This window comes from Homo sapiens, chromosome 4 (genome assembly GCF_000001405.40).
Source record: "Homo sapiens chromosome 4, GRCh38.p14 Primary Assembly".
In the NCBI taxonomy this organism is placed as follows: domain Eukaryota; kingdom Metazoa; phylum Chordata; class Mammalia; order Primates; family Hominidae; genus Homo; species Homo sapiens.
This window is the reverse complement of record NC_000004.12, coordinates 47797811-47811766: the sequence shown is the minus strand read 5'-3', so window position 1 is coordinate 47811766 and position 13956 is coordinate 47797811. Positions and strand designations below refer to the sequence as shown.

Sequence of the window (13956 nt, the reverse complement as noted above, 5' to 3'; positions counted from 1 at the left end):
GCTGAGTTTGGTCCATAGACTAGTTTTCTGATCCCTGTTCTATATATTTAAGATGTAAAATTTATCCCAAAAGGTAATCCAACCAATTAGAAAATAATCCTCGGCTGGGCGCGGTGGCTCAAGCCTGTGATCTCAGCACTTTAGGAGGCAGGAATATTTGAAAGGACAACCATCCCTGATAGATGAGGACTCACCTTTGGTCAGGGGTATTCAAGTAGGTGCACCCCCCAGCTAGAACCTCCAAACAAGCTCTCAAATATTGTCTGCCATTCGCAGATGTGGATGTGCCCTCAGGAATGCACCATGTGTTGACAAAGTCAAATGCTGCCTGAAGGTAAAAGAGGGTAAAGACTTATGTACTTGAAATGTCAACTATAATCTCCTTGACCTTTGCAAACTTGATAAAATGGACTCAAAACCTCGTACACCCTAATGTAAATCCAAAGCCCTCCCCAGAACCTCTGGGTGCATGGTTCTCATGATCAGCTCTGGTTCCAGGCTCTGCATTCTTGAATTAGTTCAGCTTTGGGGTCATTTTTCACGTTGTTTTTTCTCATCATGCAAAGATAATACAGCCTCTTTCTTACTCTGGCTATAGTGTGGAGAACAGGTTAGGGAGTGCATGGATAAATATAGGTAAACCAGATAGGAGGAGGTATTTGCAGTATTTCAGGAGAGATATGTTTATTTTTACTATAATGTAGCATCTATGAGACTAGAGAGTTTCGTTTTGCATATTAATATATCCCAAGTGCCCAAACAATGCCTGACACATGATAGTTGTGCAATTACCTTTTTTGAGATCACAAACCCTGGAAGAATACCAGATATGGGGATGAAAATTGTTTATTTGGTTCCAGACTTGTTGAGTTTGAGCTACTTTTACAACCTCCAATGAGGAGATGTCAAGTGGTCAGTTGCATATAATGCAATCTTCCTCTGGAGATCAGAGGAAAGATCTATGGTTGTTATTTAAAGATGCGAGTCACCTATGGAGGGCTGCTAATTGAAGTTAAATGTGTGGGTGACATTGCCTGGGGAGCGAGTGAATGTGAGAATTGAGCCTACAGAAAGAGAAGGAATGACCAGAGAGGTAGGAGAAAGAGAAGCCAAAGGAAGAAAGTGCTTCAAGAAGGAGGAACTGGCTATCTGAAATTTTGACCTCTCAAATGATACCAAGATAGCATACACTTGTGGTACAATGGTACACTGTGCCAGTGTACATTATATAAAACAACATGACAGTTTTTAAAATAAATGTAGTTCTTAAGATAGAAGAAACACATTTTCAGTAACAAGATTAGTAAAACATAAGAACATTTGGAAGCTTGAGGTGGGTGGATCACTTGAGCCCAGAAGTTTGAGATCAGCCAGAGCACCATGGTGAAATCCTGTCTCTACAAAAAAATTAGCTGGGCGTGATGTTTGGTGCATACCTGTTGTCCCAGTCACTCAGAAGACTGAGGCAGGAGAATCACTTGAGCCCAGGAGGCAGAGGTTGCAATGAGCCGAGATCATGCCACTGCACTCCAGCCTGGGCGACAGAGTGAGACCCTGTCTCAAAACAAAACAAAACACCAAAAACAAACAAACAAACAAAAGCCCAAAACCAAAACCAAAAATAAAAACAACAACAAACAAAACACAAAAGAATGACATGCTTTACAAATATGTGCAGGTCCAATCAGATGCATCGTTCCCTACCCTTGCCATGGAATGCTGTGCCTGTGCTCAGCTTAGTTTCAAGGCTGAGGAAGGTGCTTGTGGAAGAGGGATGCCATTTGAAGGGAGGATTGTTTAGAGTCCATTGAAACAAAGCTTAAGGATGATTCTGGTTGTTTATTTCACCTGGCATTTACTCAACAGTGAAGTCTGAGAGTTGCCTTGTGTTCAGAGGAACCTCCAAGGGCCTGTGCATAATGTAGCATTTGCAACAGTCCTAAGTGGCCATGAGTGCAAGAGGAAAGTTATGCAAGTTATTCAAGAAGAAAGTGTTGAAGTATTGAATTTCTCCTACCTATTTCTTCCTCCTCTCCCTTTGAAAAAAGCAATCAATTCTCTGGCTGGGCGTGGTGGCTTACACCTGTGATCCCAGCACTTTAGGAGGCCGAGGCGGGTGGATCACGGGGTCAGGAGTTCGAGACCAGTCTGGCCAACATAGTGAAACTCTGTCTCTATTAAAAATGCACAAAAAATTAGCCGGGAGTGGTGGTGTGTGCCTATAATCTCAGCTATTCAGGAGGCTGAGGTAGGAGAATCGCATGAACCTGGAAGGCGGAGGTTGCAGTGAGCCAAGATTGTGCCACTGCACTCCAGCCTGGGCAACAGAACGAGACTCTATCTCAAAAAAAAAAAAAAAAAAAAAAAAAAGCAATCAATTCTCTTGTCACTGAAGAAAATATTTGGTCTAATCATGAATATTGTTTTTGGAGGTCCAGTACTTGATATCTACTTAGATGACATATTAAAATGGGCCTCTAGCATTTTCTCCACTGACTCTTTACTTATAAATGCTAAATGAGATGTATCTGGCTCCAGGAGTCCAGATGGCAATGAGCCAAGGTTATTCCTATAATGCTTCTGTGATCACCTTAGCAAGGAAGCTTCTTCACTGTTGTAGAAGTTAAATACTTTGCAACTTTTTTTAACTCGTAACAGACTTGTTCAGGGGTACTTTTCTCAGAATTATGGCTGATTCAGGGTTGCTCTCTCTACAATGTCTTACGTGATCTTCCAGCAAGAAATCGTATTTCTATCTTTTGAATTCTTATATCACTTTAGCTATAAGTGTCATGGTGCTTATCATTTGCTACCTTGCAATATAGTCATGTACATTTCATCTCTCCTACAAGACTGTGAGCTTTTGAGAGACAGTGGTTTGAAGTCATTGTCGTATCCATCACTATTATTATAATTAGTAGGTATTCAATAACTAAGTAAAATAAACAAGTATCAACTTGTTTCTGCCACTAACTTTGTTGGCCTGTAGTCCCACACTTTTATTTATTGATTGATTTTTTTGTAGGTAAGTGTTGTACACTTATCTTCTTGAAGATCAATTGTCTTCTTGAAGATCAGTTGTAAATTAACTATAAATTATAACACATTGGCTGGTAGCTTAATCCAGGTACAATGGATCAGTAAGACATTAACCTAGGAAATGAAGTTCTTCTCAAGTTAACAACACAAGTTACTTCAAATAATGTCTCTCATGGAGAATTCTTAAAATTACAGAAGGTGTCATCATATTATGTAGTGAACACTGCTTGCAATATGGGTTAGTGAACCTATATTCCCTTATAGAGAGAATAAAGCAGAAATGGGAATCACATATGCCTTGCAATTCAGAAGAACCCTTCAAAATTGCCTTTGCATCCACGGGAAATAATCAAATACTCGTCAGGAAGTCCTGAGAATATTACAGGGCCATTGTGTTAGAACAACTTCTTGATTATTATAAGGCTCTTTCTCAAAGGTCATTCATTTTTTTAAAAAAAGTTTGGTATTTATTAAGAGGAAGAACCAACAAAACCTGGTGATGTACGGCATAGGGGGATGATGAAATGGGGAGTCTTTGGACTCCACTCCCCATATTGGAATGGAGGAATTTCTGTAAACATAAATATGAAAGTCAGGAGAAGAACTAGTTTGAAGATAGAGAGAGAGAAGGTTCGTCTTAATTTTGGACTTGTTAAAAAGAGACGCTGCTACCCACCAGGCATTGGAAATATGTAGTGTAACTCTGAAAGGAGTACAGGATGCAAGAGAGATTCAGGAGGTAGTTACACTGAGGTTATAGTTCAAGTTCTGAAACTGTCAGAGGAGAAAATGCAGTCAGAAGTCCAAGAGAGAATCATGAGAAATGCCTTCATTAAGGAGACTCGGAGAGTTTCTTGTAGTTATTCAAAGCCCTTTTAGTACCATCTCAGATGTTTTTTTGAAGTCACTGCTTTAAGCTAGCCATCTGTAATAAATGAATTTCCAGATATCATTTCTGGCAAGAGATTGAACTAAGCAAAATTTGAAGCATTTGAAGACAAGAACTTTATCTGAACCGTCGTTGTTGCACTTTGACATCCTCTCACACAGGATGGGCTGCAGGGGTAGCATGGGCAGCCGAGGATGTCCTCAGAGTTGTTAGCGTTTAATTGGCAATCAGGCAGGCTCCTCCTTATATTTCAACTTGTCACTAAATGCATGGTCAGTAACAGTGAGCCTGGCTGAATTATTAATGGCCAAAAACTTATTTTATCCAGATTCATTCACATTTGGTTTAGACTAATGAGACAAAAAAGAATGAAGTCTGGATAATATTCTGTCTACACCTACTTACCAATTTTTTATCACTGTATTAGGCAGCCTTCACTTCTGTCATAGCTTTGGGCCAGGGTAAGGTTTTGCCATGGTCATTCATAGCCCTTTGGAATCATACCAAATTGACAAATATGTTTTAAAAAAGCAAAATGGGATATTGTTAAAAGCCTATGTACTTCCGAAAAATGTTTCAGAAATAGATAGTTTGCTCTTCCCTGAATGTAGATGTACAGTTATCTGTTCCTTTATTGGCATGATTTGTTGACTAAGCTCATTTCATACCCTAAACCACAAACTGTAAAATCTTTTTGGAATGTGCTGTTCTAAATGGATAGCTGTAACCTAAAATTTCATACCATGTATTGTAAAACTAAAACCATGTTGCATTTTCCTCTTTTACTTTAGGTCTTGAGAGCTGATGACAATAACATGGGCAATGGCTGCTCTCAGAAGCTGGCGACTGCTAACCTCCTCCGGTTCCTATTGCTGGTCCTGATTCCATGTATCTGTGCTCTCGTTCTCTTGCTGGTGATCCTGCTTTCCTATGTTGGTGGGTGAGGCCATTATTAAATAAAAATGAAGTTAAAGTGAAAATTAGCATGATCTAGAAGAGTGATTTCTACTTAGTACTTATTTAACCCAAAGTGTCAGTCAATGAGAGGATTATCTTTTGATGACGTTATGCAAATCTGCAGTTTCAGCTACTGTAACCACTCTACTGGTTATTATTATTAATATTAATGAATGAGTTTATGAATTTAAAACATTTAAGGAATGATTACTAGGTTGCAGGCATTTTGAAAGTTCCTGAGAACTCCAGGATGGTTAAATTAGTCCTTTCTTAGGAGCTCACAGTTGAGAGGAAGTGATGATTATCACACAAGGCAACACGTGTTTAAGATAGAAGTGTATAGACAAGGTCCCATGGGCACATTCAAAGAAAGCATCATGGAGAGTTAATGTGTTAACTTCGGAATTAAGTTAATAGAAATTTAGGTTAGAAGACAGTAGTTCAGGAGTCACATTTGGCAGAGAAAATAACTACTGCAAAACTATAACCCCTTGAAAGATGAACATAGATTTAGAAAACTGGGTGAAAATTTGGCAGTGGTGGGAAATGCAGCTAGATCAATAAAGTCCAAATTAAACAGCATCTTACATTTTCATACTAAATACTAAGGAATTTGGGCTTTAGCTTTTAGATCACTGGTTTTCAAACTCTATTCCATGGTAACAAGGTTCTAAGGAGGAGACTTAAGGATTGCACAAATGTTTGCTTTGACTTTCATTAAAAAAAAAAATCTTAAAAACACACTCAAACTAAATATTACATACCACATTTTTAACCAAGTAAAAACCAGAAACCAAGTAATATGTGCTGACAGGTTAACTCATTAGTTAGCTCATTAGTTGCATCTTGCTATCTTTTTCTAAGTGAATGATACTTAAAGTTTGAAAAGTGAACTTTTTGGAAAAAGCAATAAACTATTATCACTGGTGGCTACCTAATGATATGAATCAGGATTTCAAAAAATATGTGCAATCAAATAAAACAGAGAAATAAATATCAAGACGATGCTGATCTAATTGCATTGCCAATGATTTTGAATTTTTAAGTTTTGCCAAACCTCCCTATTATTTTCTTACTGGTTTATAGAAGTTACACACTTAGATCTTATAAAGTAAGTTAACCACAATAAAATTCAGCTCATATCTATTAATAGATATTAGGCTTTTTATGATATTTATTTGAAAATAACATTGATCTGCTATAAAAATGATTACAAAACACTGCTATGGGTGGTGGATTACCACTGGAGGATCTTTCCAAGAAAGGAGAACTCTGATTATTTTACATTTGCAAAAGGCGGTAGAACTGGATACACTACAGAGTACTGGAGGCAGAAAGAAATGAAGGCAGAGGGAGACCAGTTCGGGGCTCTGACTCTGGTCTAAGTAAAAGGTGATGAGTGTTTGAAATAAGGCATTGGATGCATTAAAATCAACAGAAATCAAGACTGATTGGATTTTGGTGTGAGGGAGAGAGGAGTCAAGGCTGACTCCTGGATTTCTGGCTTGGGTAACCAGGTTTTTTAAAAAAAATGTTTGTGGGTACATAGTGGGTGTATATATTTATGAGGTATGTTACATACTTTCCTACAGGCATGTAATAAGCAATAACCACATCATGAAAAATGGGCTTTCCATCCCCTCAAGCATTTATACTTTGTCACAATAATCCAATTATACTCTATTTTTTTTATAATCCAATTATACTCTATTATTATTATTATTATTATTATTTTTTTTTTTTTTTGAGATGGAGTCTCGCTGTGTTGCCCAGGCTGGAGTGCAGTGGCGCGATCTCGGCTCACTGCAAGCTCTGCCTCCTGGGTTCACGCCATTCTCCTGCCTCAGCCTACCAAGTAGCTGGGACTACAGGCGCCCGCCACCACGCCCGGCTATTCTTTTGTATTTTTAGTAGAAACAGGGTTTCACTGTGTTAGTCAGGATGGTCTCGATCTCCTGACCGCGTGATCCACCCGTCTCGGCCTCCCAAAAATCTTATATTTTTATAATCCAATTATACTCTATTATTTTTAAATGTACAATTAAACTTCTATTTACTATAGTCATCCTGTTGTGCAATCAAATAATATCTTATTCATTCTTTCTAACTATACATAATTTTTGTACCCATTAACAACCCCCCCCCTCCCCACCCCCCACCATCCTTCCCAGCCTCAGCCTCTGATAACCATCCATCTATTCTCTGTCTCCATGAGTTCAATTGTTTTGATTTTTAGCCCCTAAAATAAGTGAGAACATGTGAAGTTTGTCTTTCTATGTCTGACTTATTTCATTTAACATAATAACCTCCAGTTCCATTCATTTTGTTGCAAAATGACAGTATCTAATCCTTTTTATGGCTGCATAGTACTCCATTGTATATATGCACCATATTTTCTTTATCCAATCATCTGTTGATGGACATTTAGGTTGCTTCCAAATATTGACGAGTGTGATCAGTGCTGCAACAAACATGGAAATGCAGATATCTATTTGATGTACAGATTTCCTTTCTTTTGGGCATATACCCAGCAGTGGGATTGCTGGATTATATGATAGCTCAATTTTAGTTTTTTTGAGGAATGTCCAAACTGTTCTTTATAGTGGTTGTACTAATTTACATTCCCATCAACAGTGTACAATGCTTCCCTTTTCTCCATATCCTTACCAGCATTTGTTATTGCCTGTCTTTTGGATATAAACCATTTTAGCTGGGGTGAGGTAATATCTCATTGTAGTTTTGATTTGCATTTCTCTGATGGTCAGTGATGTTGAGCCCCTTTTCATATGCTTATTTGCCATTTGTATGCCTTATTTTGAAAAATGTCTATTCAAATCTTTTGCCCATTTTTAAGTGGGATTATTCGATTTTTTAAAAGAAAGTTGTTTGAGCTCCTTATAAATTCTGATTATGAATCTCTTGTCAGATGGGTAGTTTGAAAATATTTTCTCTCATTCTGTGGGTTGTCTCTTCACTTTGTTGACTGTTTCCTTTGCTGTGCAGGAGCTTTGTAACTTGATGGGATCCCAGCTGTTCATTTTTGCTTTGGTTGCCTGTGCTTGTGTGGTATGACTCAAGAAATTTTTGCTCAGACCAATGTCCTAAAGTTTCCCCAATGTTTTCTTTTAGCATTTTCATAGTTTGAAGTCTTATATTTAAGTCTTTAATCCATTTTGATTTGATTTTTGAATATAGCGAGAGATAGCAGTCTAGTTTTATTCTTCTGCATGTGGATATCCAGTTTTTTAAGCACAATTTATTGAAGAGACTGTTCTTTCCGCAATGTATGTTCTTGGCATCTTTATTGAAAATGAGGTCTATGTAGGTGTGTGAATTTGTTTCTGGGTTCTCTATTCTGTTCCATCAGTCTGTGTGTCTGTTTGTATGCCAGTATCATGCTGTTTTGTTTACTATAGCTCTGTAGTATTATTTGAAGTCAGGTAATGTGATTCTTCCAGTTTCATTCTTTTTGCATAGGATAGCTTGGGCTATACTGGGTCTTTTGTGGTTCCATATAAATTTTAGAATTGTTTTTTCTATTTCTATGAAGAATGTCTTTGGTATTTGGATAGGGATTGCATGGAATCTGCAGATTGCTTTGAGTACTATGGAAATGTTAACAATATTGATTCTTCCAATCCATGAACATCAAATATCTTGCCATTTTTTGGTGTCCTCTTCAGTTTTTTTCATCAGTTTTTAGTTTTCATTATAAAGATCTTTCACTACTTCAGTTACATTAATTTAAAGTCTGGGCCCATTTGTGTCCATTTTTCTTGGGAAGGTGTTTCAGGTCTTCTAAGGGACTTGGGCCTGCGACCCTATAATGCTGCAATTCTTGAAGACTTCTAGAGAAAGGTACTGCCTTGGTGGTCCTGGTTAAAGTCTGGAAGAATTCTCTGAATTGCCAGGCCGAGACTCTCGTTCTTTTTCCTTACTTTCTCCCAAACAAACAGAGTCTCTCTCTCTCCCTGTGCTGAGCCTTCTGGAACTGGGGCAGGAACACAACATCCCCATGGCCACTACCACTGGGACTGTGCTAGTTGAGACTTGAAGCCAGCACAACACTGAGTCTTACCCAAGGCCTGCTATAACCACTACTTGGCTACCACCTAAGTTCACTCAAAGCTTTAGAGTCTACAATCAGCAGGTGGCAAAGCCAGCCAGGTTTGTGTCCCTCTCTTCAGGGCAGTGAGCTCCCCCAGGCCTCAGGTGGGTCCAGAGATGCTGTCTTGGAGCCACGGATTGAAGTAAAAAACCTTAGAACTTTAGCTGGTGTTCTATTCTACTGCAGCTAAGCTGGTACTCGAACCACAAGACAAAGTCCTTCCCACTCTTCCCTCCCATTTCCATTGGCCAAGGAGTCTCTCCCTGTGGCCACCACAACCACCAACCCATGGGGGCTTTTGCCAGGCCACCACTGATGTTCACTTAGAGCCCAAAGGCCCTTCAGTTGGTTAATGATGCATGCTTCCAGGCCTGGGACTCACTCTTCAGGACAGTGGACTCCTCTCTGGCCCAGGGCAGGTCCAGAAATGCTAACCAAGAGCCTAGGCCTAGACTCAGGGACCCTAAGAGCCTGGTTGGTGCCCTACCCCACCGAGGCCAAGCAGTCACCTCAGGTGCCAGAGAGAGTCCCCTTTACTTTTTTCCCCTGCTTTTAATAGAAAGAGTCTTTCACCATAGCCACCACAGCTAGGAATGTGCGAGGTCACATCTGAAGCCAGCACATCTCAGAGCCCAAGGCTCTGGGTATTGCTGTTGGGTATTCAGGGCCATGGGGCTCTTTGGTCAGCAAGTGCTGACTCCTGCCAGGTCTCTGCTGTGACAGATCAGCACTGAGTTCAATGTAAAGTCCCCCAGTTGCTGTGCTCTCCCTTTACCAAGCACACCGATTTCTCCATGCCACACACCCACTGCTGGAGGATGAAGGAGAGGTGGCACAAGCACTCCCTTAGCCACCTAGCTTGTGTCTCAGTAGGTCATGTGTCTCCCAGTCCACCGGCTCTGAACCCAGCTCAGCACTAGGGCTTGCCTAGGAATTGCAGTCCTTGTGGCCTAGGCTGTCCCTCAAGTTCATTTAAAGTCCCAGAGCATTCCAGCCTGCAGTGGTGAGGCTCGCTGGAACTCAAGCTCTCACCACTGGGATGGGCAATTACCCTTTGGCCTGGGCCTGTCCAAATGTTCCCTCTGCTTTCTGCTGTGACAGGGCAGCACTGAGCTCAATGCAAAGCCTCATAATTGCTGCACTCTCCCTCTCCCAAGTGCCCACATTCTCCAAGCTGCATGGCTACTGCTGGGGGATGGGAGAGGATGGTGTCAGCATTCAAGACTATCTTTCTTGCCCTCTTTACTGTCTTCTTCAGTGATATGAAGTTAAAACCAGGTATTGTGATTGCTCACCTGATTTTTGATTCTTGTATTAGTGCCTTTTGTGTGTAGTTAATTGTTAAAATTTGCTGTTCCTTTGGGGTGGGGGACCAATGCTATAGACTTCTATCAGGCCTCTTGCTCTGCCTCCTGTATCTAACCAGGTTAGTTTTGATACTACCTGTTAACATAGGAAGTAAAGGTGCAGGAGTCTGATACAGGCAGATGAAATAAAGATTGGAAGGTTGATTTGTGTATTAGAGATACTTATGGGACAACCAAATACAATGGAATCATAGTTGAATTCAACAGTGAAAGCAGGTCAAGAAATGGAGAAAAATGAGAAATCCAACATGTTGCTTTCCTAAGGAGTTTCAAGAGAAATTGTGACCAAATATGATGTTTGGCTTCTGTGACAGAGCAGCACTGACTTTAAAATTTAACTTCCAAGTCATTGGCATAGGACTGAAGCTAGGGGATCCAGGAGGGAGGTTGAGAAGGGAGGTCTGCCATGCATGCGGCAGTCTCAGTGGCAGTTGAAGCAGCAGGAGTCGATGAACTCTGAAGAGAAAATGCATTAAGCAGAAGCTGAGGGCAATGCTCTGGAGGATGCTAGTGTTTAAGGGGAAGACAAACAGGAGGGAAAAAGAGATACAGGAAGAATAGTCAGAGAAGGAAAGGAACCCAGAAATGCTGGCTTTCACAGATGCCAGAGGTCAGAGGGTGACCAAGTAAGAGGAAGACAGAACGAGTGCCCCAGCCCAGGAAGACTGAGGGTTTTCTGTGGGAGATTTAGTCGCTTCTTGCTCTGTGGTGTCAACTGTGGCCTGCTCTCAGGCTAAGACAGTAAACCGTCCTGAAACTCGTCTCTGCCACTCTCTTCTTAAGAGTCAACACCCTTCCAGACCTGGCCTGCTTCTCCTCCCTCTCCAGCGCCCTTCAGTAGTTGTCTTTTTGTGTTTTGTCCAGAGTTTATAGTTATTATCCCTGGACAGATCTGTCTGGTAGGAGCTTCCTCAGCTATACCACTGTCATTTTAAAAAGTCTGTCATGAGACTATGTTCATTGGCTCACATGCTTTGAGGAACACTTCCTTTCATTCTCAGGGTCTAATGCTAATATAAAATGTAAGTACATTTAAGTACGTCTGTGCTTAGAGGCCTCTGAGGAGAGGGCAAAGGAGGAATGCTTTGCTTTAAGTGGGTTATTCTTATTAATTTAATTAATTAATTATTAGTTAATTAATAATTTATTCTTATTAATATAATATACCATTCAATCCAACCATTTAAAGTCTACAATTCAGTAGTTTTTAGTATATTCATAGATAATGTAACCATCACTGCAGTCTGTTTTAGGACATTTTTGTCATCTCAAAACAAAACTCTGTACCCTTTAGCTACCACGCAATCTCTCCCCATCTCCTCACCCCTAGCCCCAAGCAGCCACTAATCTATTTTCTTTCACTGTAGATGTACCTATTCTAGACATTCTGTATGACCATATGTGGTATTTTGTGACTGGCTTCTTTCCCTTAGCATATGTTTTTAAGGTTTACTCACATTGTAGCACATATTAATACTTCATTCCTTTTAATGGCTGAACAATATTTCATTGTATGGATATACCATAGTTTATCCATTTGTCAATTGATAGACATTTGGGTTATTTCCACCTTTTGGCTATTATCTATAATCCTGTTATGAATATTTGTGTGTATGTTTTTGTGGGGACATACATTTTCACTTCTCTTGGGTATATACCAAGAGTGGAATTTTGTGTCACTTATGTAACTGCTCCTATATGCTATTTTGTTTATATGTAGGCAAACTTTAGGAAGTGGGGGTTTTCCCACGCATCTTCAAAATCATTCTTTTAACAATTCAAGATGCAGAAAACAAATAACCTCATTATAAAGTGGGCAAAATACATGAACAGATGCTTCTCAAAATAAACATACAAGTGTCCAACAAACATATGAAAAAATGCTCAACATCACTAATCATCAGAGAGATACAAATCAAAACCACAGTGAGATACCATCTCACACCAATCAGAATGGCTATTACGAAAAAGTCAAAAAACAACAGATGCTGTTGAGAAAAGGTATGCTGTTGGTGGAAATGTAAATTACTTCAGTCACTGTGGAAAAAACTTTTGAGATTTCTCAAAGAACTTCAAATGGAACTACCATTTGACCCAGCAGTCTCATCACTGGGGATATAGCCAAAAGAAAATAAATCATTCCACCAAAAAGACACACACACTCATATATTCATGGCAGCACTATTCACAATAACAAAGACACGGATTCAGCCTAGGTGTCCATCAGTGGTAGATTGGATAAAGAAAACATGGGAGACATACACACACACACACACACACACACACACACACACACACACCCCATGGGATACTATGCAGCCATAAAAAAGAATGAAATCATGTCCTTTGCAGCAAAATGGATGTAGCGGGAGGCCATTAGCTTAAGCAAATTATCACAGGAACAGAGAACCAAATACCACATGTTCTCACTTATAAGAAGGAGCTAAACATTGAGTGCTCATGGTCATAAAGATGGGAACAATAGACACTGGGGACTACTAGAGTCTACTACTAGAGTCTCATGGTCATAAAGATGGGAACAATAGACAACTGGGGACTATGGAGGAGGGCAAGGGTTGAAAAACTGTTGGCTACTATGCTCATTACTTGGGTGATGGGATCATTTGTATCCCAATCCTCAGCATCACATAATATACACATGTTACAACTTGCACATGTACCTGAATCCAAAATAAAAGTTGAAATTTATAAAAAAGAGAAAAAAATTAAAAACATTCTTTTAATAAATTCTGTACCAGATGATTTAATATAGCCATATTGAAGTAATATCTGTCCAAATAAATATTCCTTATTTTGTAACTGAGATGTTTGTTGTTGTAATGAGCAATACAAGCATTTTATATCTTTGTTTTAAAAACCTCATTAAATTGCTTACTTTAAAAAATGCTCTGTTTGGTTTGAGTTTATAACTTTGTGCTCATACAAAGTTTTGTAGTTATTTCTGTGTACATTAGGGTTGCTAAGGGATGCTGAGATATCAGTGGTGTATAAATAACAGGAGCTCTAGCTTCAAAAGCCAAGGAGATAATAATGAGAAGATTATTGATTAGAAAAGATAAAAGCCTTATGCTAACAAACACAGATGTACTACGTGTCTCTAATTTTGTCTGTTGTGGTTTCCCTCATGCAAAAAGTCAAGATGGTAAAACGATTTCTGAAGATACGAGAGGTGGGTTGTCAAATAATTGTATTAGCAGCAGGCTATAGAAGAAAGCAGTAGTAAATTGTTTTTCAACCCAACCACTAAACTGAAGCTAGAGCTACAAAGGTTGTTTAGTTTTGTATTTCTCAACTCGGCAGATAGTCTGAGTTGTCCATATGGTTCCAAAGATTTGGACTCTAAAACAAGGACTCAGGTTCTTCAAAGAGAAATTGAAAAATAAGAAAGTTAAATTATATGTAGATTTTTATTTCATTAGTTATAGTCTGATACTGATGGTCCATATGACAAAGAAGAAAGAGCATGCAACTTGGCACTAGAAAGTCTGGCTTTAGGGTTTTACTCTTCCATTTACTAGACATGGGAGTTTAGGTAAGATGCTTTATTTTCTACATGAGATAATTCTTTTTTGTAT

The 13956-nt window shown here is 39.3% G+C and overlaps 1 protein-coding gene across 3 annotated transcripts in view; it reads left to right on the top strand.

The window, feature by feature from the left end:
- The window catches only part of CORIN (corin, serine peptidase), a 244067-nt gene that overhangs the window by 26301 nt on the left and 203810 nt on the right, over window positions 1-13956 (top strand). For all 3 annotated transcript variants that reach the window (NM_001278585.2, NM_006587.4, NM_001278586.2), the window contains exon 2: window positions 4720-4864. In NM_001278585.2, the coding sequence (NP_001265514.1) occupies window positions 4720-4864 (145 nt within the window). The remainder of the gene's footprint in view (window positions 1-4719; window positions 4865-13956) is intronic.